At 40.0% G+C, this 19901-nt stretch overlaps 1 protein-coding gene across 3 annotated transcripts in view, besides 1 other annotated feature; it reads right to left on the bottom strand.

The window, feature by feature from the left end:
- Positions 1-19901, bottom strand: part of ST6GALNAC5 (ST6 N-acetylgalactosaminide alpha-2,6-sialyltransferase 5) — a 200067-nt gene that overhangs the window by 59202 nt on the left and 120964 nt on the right. The window lies entirely within an intron of this gene.
- Positions 8978-10177: an enhancer, noted in NCBI's record as "P300/CBP strongly-dependent group 1 enhancer chr1:77463853-77465052 (GRCh37/hg19 assembly coordinates)". NCBI's record gives its function as "activates an origin of replication core promoter dependent on BRD2, BRD4, P300/CBP, MED14 and CDK7 cofactors, with strong dependence on P300/CBP, by STARR-seq in HCT116 cells {active_cell/tissue: HCT116}" and the evidence as "EXISTENCE:reporter gene assay evidence [ECO:0000049][PMID:35650434]".

Raw genomic sequence — 19901 nt, 5'->3', positions numbered from 1 at the left:
CACATCTGTCTGACTCTAAAGATCCTAATTTGAATACTACTACATGCTGTCTCCTAATTCTCCCCCACTGAAATACCTGCTTACCCTGAAGCAAAGCTTGACTGTTGTTCAATGAAAGCTCTTGTGCATGAAGTGAGTTTTAGCTGGCAAACTAACCCATGCAGAGAGTCCCAGCCCCTCTGAGCACCAGCTGGACATTAAACCCATCTCATCTCCAGGTACTGATGACATACACTTTCAGTTTATAAAAGTCAAATTTTCCAACAAACTAGTGCTACTTTAAAAATATAGAATGCTGGTCTACTCCCATAGGATTAAACACACATAATAATAATAATAAAATAAAGAAGTATCCAAAGAAAATGTCTGTTGTAGCCATCCATCACTGCTCAGCTGGATGTGACTCTTCAGTGCCCTTTGAGCTGTAAAGATCAGTAGCCCTCCCTCAGGTAGCTATGGGGCCAAAAGTCTTAGCCACAAAGCCTTGCAGAAAGCATAAAGGAAGTGAGAAGCGAATCCATCAGTCTTGTATTAGGTTGGTGCAAAAGTAATTGTGGCTTTTGCCCTTACGGCAAGCCACGGTTACTTCTGCACCAAGCTATAAGGATTACAAGTTAAAAGTCAATCCTAATATCCTCCCACAGGTTTGCATCTGCCTTCTGGCATTTAAATACCTGGAAATTCTAATTAACCAAAATATTTTTCTCTACTCAAATATTAGTAAAAGCACATAGTGGTGAAGAATAGGGAATAAAGAACATTCTTCAAACTTCTTCCTCTTTAAACAATGACAACCACAAAACCTCCTGAATATGTGCTAGGGATCCAAACATTTATTCTCACTCCTAAAACTTTTCCACCTGCAGTAGAATGTAAGTCCCTGGAGAAGAGGAACTTGGACTATTTTGTCAATAGCTGTATACCCAGGTCCTAGAAGAGTTCCAGACATGAGTAGATTCACAATAAGTATTTATTAAATTAATGAATGAACCCTCAAATGGAGAGCGTTGCAGAGGTGCTGGGGCATGTGGTTCAGAGGGCTCTATGCAACTTCAGACATGATTATGCTCCATTCACAGATTTATTACGGCAGGAGAAAGTTTTCAGATAACCCTGAGTTCACGTCAGAATACTGAATCAAGCAGTTAAGTTGTGGTGGAATAATAATAGTAATGGTCTCAGCTCTTTTTCTGCCTCGCTGTGTCCACACCATTTGGTAGTGCCCTCTATACTGACACTGGGCTTGGCCAGGTGACTTGCTCTGCCCAACAGGACAAGCAAACATAATATAGGCAAAGACTTGAAAAGAGCTTATGCACTGGAGCTTGCTCTCTTGCTGTTCTTGGGACCCTGCCACCCTGGGAGCAAGCTGGGGTTAGCTTACTAAACAAGGAAAGGTTCTAGGCCTAGTCACGCCATTGCTTCAGCCTATAGCCAAGCAACCACTGGATATATGACTGAGGCCATCTGAGAACAGCCAGCACCCAAAAGACCAGCCAAATGACCACAGAAACATGAGCTAGGCCAACAGAGACCAGACAAACCCAGCCCAGGCCAGAAGAGCCACCCAGTATAATTGTGAGCTAAATAAATGGTTGTTGTTGTAAGCTACTAATTGTTTGGAGTGGTTGGTTGCATAGCAATAGGTAACTGACAAATAAATGTTTCTCAAATTATCTGATCATAACATCACCTGGAATGCTGATTAAGAACTATACATTCTGGCCTGGCATGGTGGTCCATGCCTGTAATTCCAGCACTTTGGAGGTTGAGGTGGGCAAACTGCTTGAGCTCAGGAGTTTGAGACCAGCCTGGGCAATATGGTGAAACCCTGTCTCTACTAAAAAATAAAAAACTACAAAAATTAGCCAGGCGTGGTGGCTGGCGCCTGTAATCTCAGCTACTCAGGAGGCGGAGGCAGGAGAATCACTTGAACCTGGGCAGCAGAGGTTGCAGTGAGCCGAGATCACACCTGGGTGACAGAGTGAGACTCTGTCTCAAAAAAAAAAAAAAAAAAAAAAAATTAGCCGGGTGTAGTGGCATGCACCTGTAGTCCCAGCTACTTGGGAGGCTAAAGTGGTAGTATTGCTTGGGCCTAGGAGGTCAAGGCTGCAGTGAGCTGTGATCATGCCACTGAAGCCTAGCCTGGGCAACAGAAGAAGACCCTGTCTCAACAAACAAATAAAACAACAACAACAACAAAAAAAACTACACATTTCTATAGAATGATAATTCCTCAATAAATTAAACATAGAGTTACCATATCATCCAGCAATTCACTTCTAGAGATATATAGAAAAAACTGAAAGCATGGGCTCAAAGAAATTTTGTATACCAATGTCAATAGCATCTTTCTTCTCAAAAGCCAAATGTTGGAAACAACCCAAATGCCCATCAATGGAGGAATGGATAAACAAAATGTGTATAACATGGAGTAGAACATATTTAGCCTTGAAAGGGAATGAAATTCTGATTCAAACTACAACATTGCTGAACCTTGAAAACATGCTCAATGAAACAATCCAGATCGAAAAGGACAAACGCTGTATGATTTCATGTATATGAGGTACCCAGAATAGTTAAACTCACAGAGACAGAAACTAGAATAGTGGTTACCAAGGGCTGAGAGAAGAGGGAAATGGACAGCTACTGTTTAATGAGTGTGGAGTTTCAATTTGGGATGAGAATAAAGTTCTGCATGTGGATAGTGGTATTGGTTGCACAACAATGTGAGTGTACTTAATGCCACTGAATTGTACACTTAAAAACAATTAAAGTGATACATTTTATAATATGTATATTTTACCATCATAAAAAACCCAAACCTGAGAGGAGGAGCCAAGATGGCTGAATAGGAACAGCTCCGGTCTACAGCTCCCAGCGTGAGCGACGCAGAAGACGGGTGATTTCTGCATTTCCATCTGAGGTACCGGGTTCATCTCACTAGGGAGTGCCAGACAGTGGGTGCAGGTCAGTGGGTGTGCGCACCGTGCGCGAGCCGAAGCAGGGCGAGGCATTGCCTCACTTGGGAAGCGCAAGGGTCAGGGAGTTCCCTTTCTGAGTCAAAGAAAGGGGTGACAGACGCACCTGGAAAATCGGGTCACTCCCACCTGAATATTGCGCTTTTCGGACCAGCTTAAAAAATGGCGCACCACCAGATTATATCCCGCACCTGGCTTGGAGGGTACTACCCCACGGAGTCTCGCTGATTGCTAGCACAGCAGTCTGAGATCAAACTGCAAGGTGGCAGCGAGGCTGGGGGAGGGGCGCCCGCCATTGCCCAGGCTTGATTAGGTAAACAAAGCAGCCAGGAAGCTCGAACTGGGTGGAGCCCACCACAGCTCCAGGAGGCCTGCCTGCGTCTGTAGGCTCCACCTCTGGGGGCAGGGCACAGACAAACAAAAAGACAGCAGTAACCTCTGCAGACTTAAATGTCCCTGTCTGACAGCTTTGAAGAGAGCAGTGGTTCTCCCAGCACGCAGCTGGAGATCTGAGAACGGGCAGACTGCCTCCTCAAGTGGGTCCCTGACCCCTGACCCCCGAGCAGCCTAACTGGGAGGCACCCCTCCAGCAGGGGCACACTGACACCTCACACGGCAGGGTATTCCAACAGACCTGCAGCTGAGGGTCCTGTCTGTTAGAAGGAAAACTAACAAACAGAAAGGACATCCACACCAAAAACCCATCTGTACATCACCATCATCAAAGACCAAAAGTAGATAAAACCACAAAGATGGGGAAAAAACAGAACAGAAAAACTGGAAACTCTAAAACACAGAGCGCCTCTCCTCCTCCAAAGGAACGCAGTTCCTCACCAGCAATGGAACAAAGCTGGATGGAGAATGACTTTGACGAGCTGAGAGAAGAAGGCTTCAGACGATCAAATTACTCTGAGCTACGGGAGGACATTCAAACCAAAGGCAAAGAAGTTGAAAACTTTGAAAAAATTTAGAAGAATGTATAACTAGAATAACCAATACAGAGAAGTGCTTAAAGGAGCTGATGGAGCTGAAAACCAAGGCTCGAGAACTACGTGAAGAATGCAGAAGCCTCAGGAGCTGATGCGATCAACTGGAAGAAAGGGTATCAGCGATGGAAGATGAAATGAATGAAATGAAGTGAGAAGGGAAGTTTAGAGAAAAAAGAATAAAAAGAAATGAGAAAAGCCTCCAAGAAATATGGGACTATGTGAAAAGACCAAATCTACGTCTGATTGGTGTACTTGAAAGTGATGGGGAGAATGGAACCAAGTTGGAAAACACTCTGCAGGATATTATCCAGGAGAACTTCCCCAATCTAGCAAGGCAGGCCAACGTTCAGATTCAGGAAATACAGAGAACACCACAAAGATACTCCTCGAGAAGAGCAACTCCAAGACACATAATTGTCAGATTCACCAAAGTTGAAATGAAGGAAAAAATGTTAAGGGCAGCCAGAGAGAAAGGTCGGGTTACCCTCAAAGGGAAGCCCATCAGACTAACAGCAGATCTCTCGGCAGAAACCCTACAAGCCAGAAGAGAGTGGGGGCCAATATTCAACATTCTTAAAGAAAAGAATTTTCCACCCAGAATTTCATATCCAGCCAAACTAAGCTTCATAAGTGAAGGAGAAATAAAATCCTTTACAGACAAGCAAATGCTGAGAGATTTTGTCACCACCAGGCCTGCCTTACAAGAGCTCCTGAAGGAAGCGCTAAACATGGAAAGGAACAACCAGTACCAGCCGCTGCAAAATCATGCCAAAATGTAAAGACCATCGAGACTAGGAAGAAACTGCATCAACTAATGAGCAAAAGAACCAGCTAACATCATAATGACAGGATCAAATTCACACATAACAATATTAACTTTAAATGTAAATGGACTAAATGCTCCAATTAAAAGACACAGACTGGCAAATTGGATAAAGAGTCAAGAGCCATCAGTGTGCTGTATTCAGGAAACCCATCTCACGTGCAGAGACACACATAGGCTCAAAATAAAAGGATGGAGGAAGATCTACCAAGCCAAAGGAAAACAAAAAAAGGCAGGGGTTGCAATCCTAGTCTCTGATAAAACAGACTTTAAACCAACAAAGATCAAAAGAGACAAAGAAGGCCATTACATAATGGTAAAGGGATCAATTCAACAAGAAGAGCTAACTATCCTAAATATATATGCACCCAATACAGGAGCACCAAGATTCATAAAGCAAGTCCTGAGTGACCTACAAAGAGACTTAGACTCCCACACATTAATAATGGGAGACTTTAACACCCCACTGTCAACATTAGACAGATCAACGAGACAGAAAGTCAACAAGGATACCCAGGAATTGAACTCAGCTCTGCACCAAGCGGACCTAATAGACATCTACAGAACTCTCCACCCCAAATCAACAGAATATACATTTTTTTCAGCACCACACCACACCTATTCCAAAATTGACCACATACTGGGAAGTAAAGCTCTCCTCAGCAAATGTAAAAGAACAGAAATTATAACAAACTATCTCTCAGACCACAGTGCAATCAAACTAGAACTCAGGATTAAGAATCTCACTCAAAACCACTCAACTACGTGGAAACTGAACAACCTGCTCCTGAATGACTACTGGGTACATAACGAAATGAAGGCAGAAATAAAGATGTTCTTTGAAACCAATGAGAACAAAGACACAACATACCAGAATCTCTGGGACGCATTCAAAGCAGTGTGTAGAGGGAAATTTGTAGCACTAAATGCCCACAAGAGAAAGCAGGAAAGATCCAAAATTGACACCCTAACATCACAATTAAAAGAACTAGAAAAGCAAGAGCAAACACATTCAAAAGCTAGCAGAAGGCAAGAAATAACTAAAATCAGAGCAGAACTGAAGGAAATAGAGACACAAAAAACCGTTCAAAAAATTAATGAATCCAGGAGCTGGTTTTTTGAAAGGAGCAACAAAATTTACAGACCGCTATCAAGACTAATAAAGAAAAAAAGAGAGAAGAATCAAATAGACACAATAAAAAATGATAAAGGGGATACCACCACTGATCCCACAGAAATACAAACTACCATCAGAGAATACTACAAACACCTCTATGCAAATAAACTAGAAAATCTAGAAGAAATGGATAAATTCCTCGACACATACACTCTCCCAAGACTAAACCAGGAAGAAATTGAATCTCTGAATAGACCAATAACAGGAACTGAAATTGTGACAATAATCAATAGTTTACCAACCAAAAAGAGTCCAGGACCAGATGGATTCACAGCCGAATTCTACCAGAGGTACAAGGAGGAACTGGTACCATTCCTTCTGAAACTATTCCAATCAATAGAAAAAGAGGGAATCCTTCCTAACTCATTTTATGAGGCCAGCATCATCCTGATAGCAAAGCCGGGCAGAGACACAACCAAAAAAGAGAATTTTAGACCAATATCCTTGATGAACATTGATGCAAAAATCCTCAATAAAATACTGGCAAAACGAATCCAGCAGCACATCAAAAAGCTTATCCACCATGATCAAGTGGGCTTCATTCCTGGAATGCAAGGCTGGTTCAATATACGCAAATAAATAAATGTAATCCAGCATATAAACAGAGCCAAAGACAAAAACCACATGATTATCTCAATAGATGCAGAAAAAGCCTTTGACAAAATTCAACAACCCTTCATGCTAAAAACTCTCAATAAATTAGGTATTGATGGGAGGTATTTCAAAATAAGAGCTATCTACGACAAACTCACAGCCAATATCATACTGAATGGGCAAAAACTGGAAGCATTCCCTTCGAAAACTGGCACAAGACAGGGATGCCCTCTCTCACCACTCCTATTCAACATAGTGTTGGAAGTTCTGGCCAGGGCAATTAGGCAGGAGAAGGAAATAAAGGGTATTCAATTAGGAAAAGAGGAAGTCAAATTGTCCCTGTTTGCAGACGACATGATTGTATATCTAGAAAACCCCATTGTCTCAGCCCAAAATCTCCTTAAGCTGATAAGCAACTTCAGCAAAGTCTCAGGATACAAAATCAATGTACAAAAATCACAAGCATTCTTATACACCAACAACAGACAAACAGAGAGCAAAATCATGAGTGAACTCCCATTCACAATTGCTTCAAAGAGAATAAAATACCTAGGAATCCAACTTACAAGGGATGTGAAGGACCTCTTCAAGGAGAACTACAAACCACTGCTCAAGGAAATAAAAGAGGATACAAACAAATGGAAGAACATTCCATGCTCATGGGTAGGAAGAATCAATATCGTGAACATGACCATACTGGCCAAGGTAACGTACAGATTCAATGCCATCCCCATCAAGCTACCAATGACTTTCTTCACAGAATTGGAAAAAACTACTTTAAAGTTCATATGGAACCAAAAAAGAGCCCGCATCGCCAAGGCAATCCTAAGCCAAAAGAACAAAGCTGGAGGCATCACGCTACCTGACTTCAAACTATATTACAAGGCTACAGTAACCAAAACAGCATGGTACTGGTACCAAAACAGAGATATAGATCAATGGAACAAAACGGAGCCCTCAGAAATAACGCCGCATATCTACAACTATCTGATCTTTGACAAACCTGAGAAAAACAAGCAATGGGGAAAGGATTCCCTATTTAATAAATGGTGCTGGGAAAACTGGCTAGCCATATGTACAAAGCTGAAACTGGATCCCTTCCTTACACCTTATACAAAAATCAATTCAAGATGGATTAAGGACTTAAACGTTAGACCTAAAACCATAAAAACCCTAGAAGAAAACCTAGGCATTACCATTCAGGACATAGGCATGGGCAAGGACTTCATGTCCAAAACACCAAAAGCAATGGCAACAAAAGACAAAATTGACAAATGGGATCTAATTAAACTAAAGAGCTTCTGCACAGCAAAAGAAACTACCATCAGAGTGAACAGGCAACCTACAAAATGGGAGAAAATTTTCGCAACCTACTCATCTGACAAAGGGCTAATATCCAGAATCTACAATGAACTCAAACAAATTTACAAGAAAAAAATAAACAACCCCATCGAAAAGTGGGCAAAGGACATGAACAGACACTTCTCAAAAGAAGACATTTATGCAGCCAAAAAACACATGAAAAAATGCTCATCATCACTGGCCATCAGAGAAATGCAAATCAAAACCACAGTGAGATACCATCTCACACCAGTTAGAATGGCAATCATTAAAAAGTCAGGAAACAACAGGTGCTGGAGAGGATGTGGAGAAATAGGAACACTTTTACACTGTTGGTGGGACTGTAAACTAGTTCAACCATTGTGGAAGTCAGTGTGGCGATTCCTCAGGGATCTAGAACTAGAAATACCATTTGACCCAGCCATCCCATTACTGGGTATATACCCAAAGGACTATAAATCATGCTGCTATAAAGACACATGCACACGTATGTTTATTGCGGCATTATTCACAATAGCAAAGACTTGGAACCAACCCAAATGTCCAACAATGATAGACTGGATTAAGTAAATGTGGCACATATATAGCATGGAATACTATGCAGCCATAAAAAGTGATGAGTTCATGTCCTTTGTAGGGACATGGATGAAATTGGAAATCATCATTCTCAGTAAACTATCGCAAGAACAAAAAACCAAACACTGCATATTCTCACTCATAGGTGGGAATTGAACAATGAGATCACATGGACACAGGAAGGGGAATATCACACTCTGGGGACTGTGGTGGGGTGGGGGCAGGGGGGAGGGATAGCATTGGGAGATATACCTAATGCTAGATGATGAGTTAGTGGGTGCAGCGCACCAGCATGGCACATGTATACATATGTAACTAACCTGCACAATGTGCACATGTACCCTAAAACTTAAAGTATAATAATTGAAAAAAAAAAAACAAACCCAAACCTGCACATTTCTGGACCAGAACCTAGATCAACCAAGTCACCATTTCCACAGCAGGAGCAAGTTTGTACCAAACCATCCCATCTCCCAAATTGTTTTAGCACATAATTAAAAGGCAGGTACATATTAGATCAGAATTAAAGTAAGTCTCTTGCCTCTTGATGAACCAGGGAAATATCTGGAAAAGTTACAAGATATTGGCCATTTAAAGGATTAAATTCAGTACCTAAATCCCTTTTTTAATTACAGAAAAGGGCCAGATTTCAGATAAAACACAACACGCTACAAGGGAAATCCCTTACTGTCCCCTATTCCAAAGCTGGGAAAGCTGCCTGTCTTCCATTTGTTTAGGTATCTAGGGAAAATATCACATTGAATCCAAAAGGTAATTTTAACCTTTTTATTTTCCTACAGTATTGGAACAAGAATAAATTGAATCTCTCTGTCTGAAAAGAGCCAGCTGTGTAAGTTTACTCCCTTTCATAGTCACCAGATCTTAGTAATAATGAAAAAATGTTGCATGGAAATGATTCTAAAATAATTTCTATTCCAGGTATGAAAACACTGCCTGTCTTCTATAACAGGCTGGCTGTTATTTACGGAAGATGGAACTTTCAAGTAGTATCCTCAGGTAGGTAATTCAAACGGCAGAAACTATTCCACATTCTGCGGTCTATAATTACAAAAGAGAGTTTCATCTTCAAACATTTCACACATATTAGTCATGGAACTTTTAATGCCTCTGGATTTTTGATGGATTACTCAATGATGGTTCAGGTTTTGCAGAAGTCTCTGGGGAATTTTAAAACTCTGAACTTAAAAAAATGTAAGTTCTAATAATGAGAAAATACCAATATGTGAGTGGCATGTAAAGGAAACTAGGCTTTCTTTTCCTGCAAATAATGCTTTACATTCTGCTTCTCAGTGACCATAATTAATCTCTTTTCCAGTCAACACAGATTTTCATTGGTTATGAAATAAGAATACATTTTGTTTGAATATACAATATAATTGTCATAAACATTTTTTCCCTTTAAAATGTCATTTATGGAGTCTTTCTTTTTTTTAATTTCACTTTTTTAGAGACAAAGTCTCACCCTGTCACCCAGGCTACAGTGCAGTGGCACAATCATAGCTCACTGTAACCTCAAACTTCTGGGCTCAAGCGATCCTCCTGCCTTAGCCTCCTGAATAGCTAGACCTCAGGAGCATGCCATCATGTCTGGCTAATTTTTTATTTTCATTTTTTGGGTATGTTTTCAGCAGTGATCCACTACTCCTGGTACCAATTTACTGTATTAGTCTGTTTTCATGCTGCTATGAAGAAATACCCAAGACTGGGTAATTTATAAAGAAAAGAGGTTTAATTGACTCGTAGTTCCGCATAGCTGTGAAGGCCTCAGGAAACTGACAATCATGGCAGAAAGCACCTCTTCGCAGGGCAGCAGGAGGGAGGATGAGTGCTGAGAAAAGGGGGAAGCCCCTTATAAAACCATCAGATCTCATGAGAAGTCACTATCATGAGAACAGCATAGAGGAAACTGCCACCATGATTCAATTATCTCCACCTGGTCTCGCTCTTAACACATGGGAATTATTACAATTTGAGGTGAGATTTGGGTGGGAACACAGAGCCAAACCATATCAGATGGGGTCTCGCTATGTTGCTCAGGTTGGTCTTGAACTCCTGGCCTCAAGTGATCCTCTGGCCTTGGCCTCTCAAAGCATTGAGATTACAGGTGTGAGCCACCATGCTCAGTATACAGTGTTTTTATGCTAGCTTCAATCTAGAACTATTAAAGTTTCAAATATAACCTGAACTATAGACATTAAGTTTTATTTCTTTAGTATAACATGGAAAGAAAACATTGGATCTTGACATGATACCCACAATAGCATTCAAAGAGTAGTAATTTGGTTGCCTGGATCTTACTTATGAGGGCTCGTCTATTAAAAGTTCTAGAAAAGTTTCAATCCATATGGCAGGATCTTCCATAATACAGCACTGCTTTGTTGGAAACTTTCTACAGAAGTTTTTCAGGTCATTTTGATTCAAAACTAGGCTCATTCATTGTTGCCATACTCCATGTTTCAAGCAAAACATTCCTTCTCAATCCCTCACAACCTTATTGAGTTCCTTCATCCTTCTGAACCATTGTTCCTAACAGTCTTCTCTTTAAATATTCATTCTACCCTGTCTTGTAACTACGAAACTGTACAAACTCTGTGTACCGCCTACATGTGAAAACTAATCCTCTATCACTCAGTTTTACTTCCCAAGTTTCTACTCAACAGGTTTATTTTTCTCTTTTTGTTTCAAAATCATCTACTATGAAAAAAGCACACAAAGAATGCATTTGTTTTGTAATCTGCACTTGGTGAGACCTCACCTTTCCTCGCTTTGCTTTACCCAGCATATTGAAACAGTAAGTGTGACAGCCAATCAACCATTTACTTTTCTCCAGGGGTTCATGTGATGTTCCTGAAACTGACCCTTCTGAGAACTCTTCTTGTTAAAATATAACACATCCTGGTACAAATCCTGGAAGATTACTCTCATGCATTAAAGTGCCATTTTCTTCCCCTTTCATCTCTGAGGATCTCACCTGCTTGAATGTTGTAATATGATTCCCACCTCACACCTTTGCAGGTTATTTTCTCACTTGGAATTCTATGGGGACACTAACACTGGAATAAGGGAAAAGATAAAATATATTCAGTGCCTGTATTTTCCAGAGCGACTCCCTGACAATGCCAGCCTCCTTCCAACTGTACATACTGAAAGGAGTTCCACAGCTGTTTCTAAAATTTAAGCCTCCTGGCCTCAGCTCTGCAAATATGCACTCCTTAACACTTGTGCAGAATGGTTACAATCTTGTTTCGAACTTGAGCTAATAGTTGTTAACGTTTGTGCAAACCAGCAAGCCTTGCTTTTCCTTCCATTTAACCTGCAGATTATTGCAACTGCAAGCAGGATAGGATTTCATCCACAAACATATTCAACAGTATATTAGAAATGTACATGTTTAACACTATGCTGCATTAGATTGTGAGTTGTTTTGATGGCAAGAAATACATACATCTCATTCTTGTTTGCGTCCTGGAAGTTTTTTGCATGTCTGGCGCATAGTAGGCACTTAATACATCTCTGTTGTGAGGGACAAGATGTGATCACTGCCTTACACGGGCACAGAGTCACAAACTCTGATACACAAGAGTCCCCATAAATGTAGGAGAGGTCACTGGGGATGGGGAACTCCAACTGGTCTGGCTAAGGGTTAGAAGACAGGGGTTCAAGACCTAGTTCTGTCATAAGTTAGCTGTGCAACTTTGCACAAGTTGGTTAGCCTCTCCAAGTCTCAGTTTCTTCTTCTACAGACTGGTATGGGGGACAATCATGCTTGTCACCTTTATAATGAGGCCATGTTTGTGAAAGTTCTTTGTAAATTATAAAGGTGTCTATAACACTGCAACATGATTGAGCCACAGTTACTAAGAGAACTTCCAAAGGTAGTAATGTCTAATGGTCTCTCTCCTTTAGCCATTCATTTGATAAAAATGTTTTCATCTCCTCTTCGGCTCCATGCTAGTCGTGGGAATGAAATGGTGAGCCAAAAGATACATAGTCCCTTTCTTCATAAACCCCACAGTCTCACAGAAGACACAGATATACACTGAACAAATACACAAATAAATGTCAGGTAGGAATGTTGGTAATAACTACATTACCCAAAACGGAGGTTCTAAGTGTGTGCTGATGGTTTTAAATAAATATTAATAATACAAATATTATATTATTATGTCATATTAATAATATAAATACATAGAAATGTTACACATATATAACACACAAATAATTCACATTATTTTTTTTCATTAAAATTTAACTCTAGGAGAGAGACAGAAAGCTGAGAAAAGGAGAGAGAGAGAGGAAGGAGAGACTGATTTTAAAAGTACCTGTAACTTGTCCGTCAATAAGATAGTCTGAGGAGAGTCTATGACTCTGCTCTTCCCTCACGCACTGCCTGGCAGACTTCCTGCCTTTCAATGCCATTCTGAAGGTGATTCCTAATATTTAAAGAGACACGGTCTCATTCTGTCACCCAGACTGGAGTGCAGTGTCATGATCATAGCTCACTGCAGCCTCAAACTCCTGGGCTCAAATGATCCTTCTGCCCCAGCCTCCCAAGTATCTGGGACTACAGGCATGTGCCACTGTGTCCAGCTAATTCTTAAAGTTTTTATAGAGATGAGGTCTTGCTATGTTGCCCAAGCTGGTCTTGAACTCCTGACCTCTATCCATCCTCCCACCTTGGCTTCCTAAAGTGCTGGGATTACAGGTGTGAGCCACTGCGCCCAGCCAAAACATATTAAATTTTATATAATGTAAACCTAAATGCAATCTGACTACTTAATCTGCTGCTCAATCCAAGAGACAGTGATCTATACCAATGGAAGGTGATTTATGAATTCTGGAGGGTAATTCTGATTATATGTAATTTTCTCCTTAAAGCTGACCTTAGAAACAACTTCAGTCTGGAAGTGCATGAAAGAGGTTGGTGTTTGAGCCCGGATAGACAAGAAACTAGTCTCCTTAGGTCTCTAGTCTTGTCATAAGCCCATAATTCTACAGGGGCAGATACTACGTTTCTAATAATCTCCTCTAGAGTTTGGGACAAGAGGACAGCAAAAAATAATGCAGAACTTTGCTGCTTTCAACTGGTTATTGTCCTGTGTTTTTCTCTTGACATTGCAGAAAATTATTGCTGTGGTCTGGGGCAGTATGGAGATATTCCTGAATCCCCTTCTGTTGGCGACCCATAATAGCAACCCAATGACACTCTAATTTCTAAAAGGTAACACACAAGTTATCCAAAATTGAGGTTTTAAGTGTGGGCTCGGGGTCTTTAATACATGTCATTCATATTCTTCTTTCTCTTTCATTAAAATGAAACTTCAGAAAAGACATGCATCTCATTTAACAAGAGGCCAAATATAAATAACTCCTGAGAAACTTTGGTTAATCCATAACTTATCCCAGGCTATGTCATTTCGAATCTAGTTGTGAATGTTTCAGCCACAGAAAAATTCTCACCTTACTCAGTACAACAAAGTCATTTTGGAAAGAGAGCCAATGACCAAATTAATTCTTTTATGGAGCTGTCTGATTTGATTAAGTTGTTATACCGCATTTTAAAACTCATTAACATGAACTATCAAGCCATTTTGTAAGTGATTTTCTTCTAACATCTTTACATTTACTGTCCTGGAAGGCTTTTGGTGTCAATCAAAATAGATGACAATACTAAATCACTGGCTTTATAACATAATTCAACAGTGGGTGAATTCAGCTGTCTCTGTGAAATATGACCTTGCAAGAGTGGCTGATTTGCCTGTTGCCTTCTCTGATAAGAAAAATATATTTATAATGACATTGTAGTTGTTTGGATATTTCACAGTGTGTGTTACTTTATAACAAATTTGTTTAATCACAAAGAAATCCCCTCTAATATTAGGTGAAAGAGAAAACCTTTAAAAATAGGCCCTTTTTTTTCTTTTTTTCCTTTTCAACCAAAGTTTCTATAGAAGTTCAAATAGATTCTAAGTCAGAAAGCTCCAGAGGAAATAAATTCACAATTGAAAACAGAAGGAATATGGCTTTACAGGGCAAGCTTAATGAAAGAAAGAGGAGAGAGTTGGATAAATCTGCACAAAGGAGGCATTCAAAGAGTGTTTCCAGAGCCGAAAGCTAAACGTAACGTAGTAGAGAATTAACTGCTTAGATATGAGGAATAGAGCCCTGGCAGAGTCGGGCTTTGCAAATTTCTCCAACAATAACAATTTCCTTAAAAAGAAATTTCAGAGATTTGCCAGATAAGTAGTTACAGTCATTATTTCTAGTAATACAAGAAAAGTATAAATAGGAATTAAACCCCCATGTGACCAAAGAATAGTGCTGCAATACTCCATATTTCTCACAAAATTCCTTAGGGAAAGCTGCAGTGAAACATAACACTGACATATGAGAGAGATGAAACTGTTTAATGGGTACCAAGAATGCTCCATAAATGTAGGCTAATAAAGTGTTCATTAGTTTAGCATCTATTGATTGAGTTCTTGCTATTTTCCAAATTTGGCACTGATGGGTAGGATGACAAAGAAAACTACAATACAGCCCTGGCCTGTAGGGCTTGTGCTGGGCCAACAGAAATGTAAAGATGTAATTATTGCACAACACAGAGATAGACAAAATAGGACAACATCAGAGGAAGGAGCAGCTAATGCTAGAGAGTTCGCAAAGGCATCATGGAGGGAGTGATATTTGAGATGCTTCTTGAAGCATAAATAGGAACTCCTGGGGAAGGCAAAAGGGGCATGGCACACAGAAAACATTTTAGGGGACTGTAAGAGGTTGAAGAATCCAAGTTCTAAGTGAGTGGATGGGTAAGGCAGGAAATGAGGCTGAAAAGGAAAACTGATTTCCATGCTAAGAACTTGGGTCTTAGTCCTGTAGATAGGAGGTAGCAAACTGGAAGGTAGCTCAAGGGCAGCAAGAACCTAGAGTGGACATACTTTGTCTCTAACCTGCAAATGCAAGTGTGTGCATACTGTTTTGGGAAATACACAGGAATCGTCTGTGGCCCAGCCAGCAAGGCAGAAGTAGTGAGTTTTCTTATTATTATTTATGGGCTCAGTGGCTCATGCCTGTAATACCAGCACTTTGGAAGGCCGAGGTGGGCAGATAACTTGAGCTCAGGAGTTTGAGACCAGCCTGGCAACATGGTGAAAATTCATCTCTACAAAGAAATAGAAAAATTAGCTGGGCATGGTGGCATGCACCTATAGTCCCAGTTACCTGGGAGGCTGAGGTGGCAGGACAGCTTGAGCCTGGGAGGCAGAGGTTGCAGTGAGCTGAGATTGCACCATCGAACTCCAAACTGGGTGACAGAGCCAGAACCGGTCTCAAATAAAATAAAATTAAATTAAAGAGGGACCACAATTGCCCTTTAGAAAGGTAATTGGCTGCAGTGAAGAGAAAGGATTAGAGAGGGAATATTTGGAGGCAGGAAGGCCTCTGGAAGGCCCTTTGGTGCTATAGGAGGAAGACACTGAGAACCTATGTGAAGGTGGTGGCAGCAGATCTTGACATAGGTCCTCAAAGCAAACACCAGAAAAGAAATTATTGACTAAAATCAGATGAAGCAGGGCTGGCAGTGGAGATAGTTAGAGCATAGAGCTAAAAGACATAGAGTTACTCATTCAAGAAATAGCTGTTTTAATGCCAGACATGGGCATACAGTTCCAAGCAGGGAAGACATGAGCTATGTGCCTTAACCATGAATTTATAACCACCGGGATATGGGAGACCAGGGATAAGGTGTTGATGATTACTAATGGGTCATGGGTTTGGGAAGCTGACCCCTACGTAGAGTATAGAAATTGTTGATTTCCTTTTCATTGTAGAAAACACTGAAGAAATTTTAAAAATATTTACTTATTTCTCTGCCAAAAAAACATTCCATTCATACATTTATCTATTTTTGTTAGAAAACAAAAATGAAGGCCATGAAATATTTTAAAAGTTTGAGAATTCAGGAATAGGCAGGGTGTCTGTGTGTGTGTGTGTGTGTGTGTGTGCGCACACGCGTGAGTTAGAAGGTTGTTTGGGAATGCTTAAGATAATGAGTTAGTTTTTCAACATGATTTAAGATGTCTATAAAGCATCCAGGTGAAAATGTCCAGTTGGCAGCTATGTTCTGTGGGCTGAGAATTCATAAGGGAGGGCTGAGCTAAAGAAATAGTATGAAATCTCACTAGAGAAGATGTGGAAACTGATGTCAAAGAATAGAAAAAGTTACCTGTCTATGAGAAGGAGTAGAATTAGCAGAGGAGAAGGCTGAGTTAGGAAACTCCAGGATTAAAATAAGGGTGGAAAGAGGAGGCCTGTTCATGCAAATTGAATGAGAAGTGGTCAGGGGATTTAGGATAAAATGGTAATAAAAGCTTGATGATTTTCAGAAAATGCTCAGAGTGTGCATATTGAAATAATCCTATGCCTTAGCATTCAAATCCAGGCATTTGTTCATTTGAACTTGATGATATATAACTGTGTTGAGCCCTAAAATTCACCTTGTAATTGATATATGGCCTCAGGCTTAATGTTTTCTTTAGAATAATCTTGTATTTGCTTTCCGCAAGCCAACATTTGCAATGTTTGGTACAGAATAAAATAGCTTTGAAATTTTATTCTGAATAAAATTTTATTCTGAATAAAAGCAATTGGTGGATCCCTGTAGGGTTGTTTATTTTCTTTCTGCCCCTCCATATCCACTGTCTTCCCCCCATCATAGGAGGACTTAATCAAGTAACTCCATTTGCTATCTGGCTGTTGATTTGGTTTGGCCAATGAGAAGCACTGGCAGGAGCTGAGAAGGTGACACAGAGAGGGTGAGATTCTTTTCCCTACTTCCCTCCTTCTACAGCCTATAGCCCACTACTGAAGGCTGAAGCTCCTTTCCAGAAGCCCTAGCTATGCAATACTCTTGGGTGTTTCCTGTGCCATTTAGCCCCTCCAGGTCAAGAAATGGTAAAGGCTCTCTGCCATTAATAAATCCCCAACTACTGCACTATCCCTTGGCTACTCTCTCTCAACCCTAAATGAGGGTTCATATTAGCATAGGATGAATTAGTAGTCCCTTTATTAAATTCTCAAATCACCCAGTTTGAGTCTGCTATCAAACTGCCCAGTTGCCAGCAAGAGGTTAATTCATACAATAATTCGTTATTTGTCAGTGATCCATTTTTCCATCGGCTCTTGAATGGAGAGTGTATTCAGGAAGATTAGGTTGAGGATGGAGCAGGAATGAGTCTGGAGAAGGCACAGGCTGCCTTCTTTCATAGCCTGGCTGACTGCACAGAGCCTTGGAGCCAGCACCAAGATGATTCCTCTGAGGCATTTCTACTGAACTATTTAGCAATGAGCACCAAAGAAGACAGAAGGCTGAGAAGGCGCACATTTCACCCTGACAGAACTGACAGATTGGGGGATAAGACCTCATGTGTCTGGATTTTCAGGTAACTGCTGTTTGAGTTCATGCTCAGAACCATCAATTCTGTAGTGGAAAAGTTCCATAAATCAGCTTGCCATACAATGAGCAATGCCTGTAGTTGCCATGAAGATATTCTTGTACTATTTTTGGCCACTGTATAAAGAAACTAAGGCATTAGAAGGAAAAAAATACCTTCAGAAGCACCGTCTTTTTGGTGGAGATTGGGGATGGAGTGGAAACTCCCAGTGTATACTCATGGCTGCGTCATGCAGCCTTCTCCAAACTTCTCTCCCTGGAACCACCCTAAGGCAAATAAAGAATGGAAAACTCAGAACAAAAACTCAGTTGTTAAATAAACTTCAGGAGAGAGTTTAAATACTTTTAAGTATTTATCCTAAATCTTAAAATACTTTTAAGATTTTCTAAAAGCAACTGAATTCTTCTGGGAAGAATTTGGGAAAGGCTAAAGACAGATCTCAAGACCTCAGTTGTAGGAGACCAGCCATGACAGATCTCAGAACACACTACTAACAATTTCCTTCCCGCAAGTGATGGGTATGTCTTGAGAGTCAGAAGCTGTACCCCTTGCTGGCAAAGGTGTGGCAGAAGCAGGATGTGACCTTCTACCCTAATGGGACTATAATGAATTTCATAAAAAAGAAGAAGCAAGGCCAAATAAAGATTTGGAAAGACAAGGCACATTTTTTTGAGAAGCGTTCTACCTTTGTGGAGACTGTGGAAAAGAAGAACCTTTGCACTGGGCAAGCATGCTAGACAGGAAAGCTGACCTGGTCCTGCCTCAAGAAAGCCCTTATAAATACAGAGCTTAGGAAAATGAAAACCATTCAAAGATGAATAATAAAAATTATATCTATACTCCAAGACAAAAGGGAAAAAAGGCAAAAAATGTATTAATAAAGTATATCCTTCTGTAAAATATTACCATACCAATGAAAGTTATGAACAAATGTCTTGCCATGAATTTGGAGGAAAAAAAATCCTTCAAATTAAAGTGATCACCTGGATGAAAGATGATATATAACACAGTAATGGAATAATTCAGGGAAAGTATGGTAGCATAGCAGGAAGAGATAAGATATGAGCTTGCACAACTAAGGAAAGGTGTAGTCCAAGAAAAAAAAAATAGAAGAATTAAGGAAATAAAAACAAAATGGGGCAAAAGAATCAGATAGTATAAAAATCACAGGAGATTCACAGAGGTTGAGAATGGCAAAGTTGGTGTGATAGAATAGAAGAAATAAAGAAAGACCCAGAATGACCAATGAGACATATCCCAATAAAGTTGCTGGGCTTCAAAGATAAAGAATCCTTTCGGCAGACAGGTGAAAAGACTAGGTCAATTTTACAAGAAAGAAGAATTCAGGCTGCCTTCCTGTTTTTACACAGCAACTCTGAATACCAGATACAATCCCATGAGATTCTCAAGCAAAGAGACTTTGAGATAAGAATATATATGCAAACTCTTCTTGAAGTATAAGGGCTACAAACAATAGTTTTAATAAGAGTTCAAAAACTGGAGCAATATTATTTTGTTGATGTCTTTTTGTGGGAACCAATAAAAGAGAAAATTCAGTCAATCAATAAGTTTGGGGAAAAGATTGAGGGAGACTATATATTTAACAGTACCACTAAAACTAGAAAAATGTGAGTTAGAGTGGCAGATAAAACATAACTGAAACATTGAGAGGAGAAGAGGGAAAGAAATTGAAATGATGAGAAAATGTGTTTACTGTTTAATTTAAAACAGCTGGAAGTCAAAGGATTTCATTTAAAGTTGGCAAATCAAGTCATAAATCAGAAACACAGTTATATCAAAGCAAACACCAGAAAAGAAATTATTGACTAAAATCAGTATGCTGCTGGATCCAGAGATAAAAGGAGAGAAAAGGAAGAAATATAATAATATTCACAGTTATAACTAGTAAGAATAAACAAACACCAGAGGACTAAGATCAATTTATAA

This window comes from Homo sapiens, chromosome 1, assembly GCF_000001405.40.
Source record: "Homo sapiens chromosome 1, GRCh38.p14 Primary Assembly".
In the NCBI taxonomy this organism is placed as follows: Eukaryota; Metazoa; Chordata; class Mammalia; order Primates; family Hominidae; genus Homo; species Homo sapiens.
Note: the sequence above shows the minus strand (reverse complement) of the source record. Positions and strands in the feature narration are given on the sequence as shown.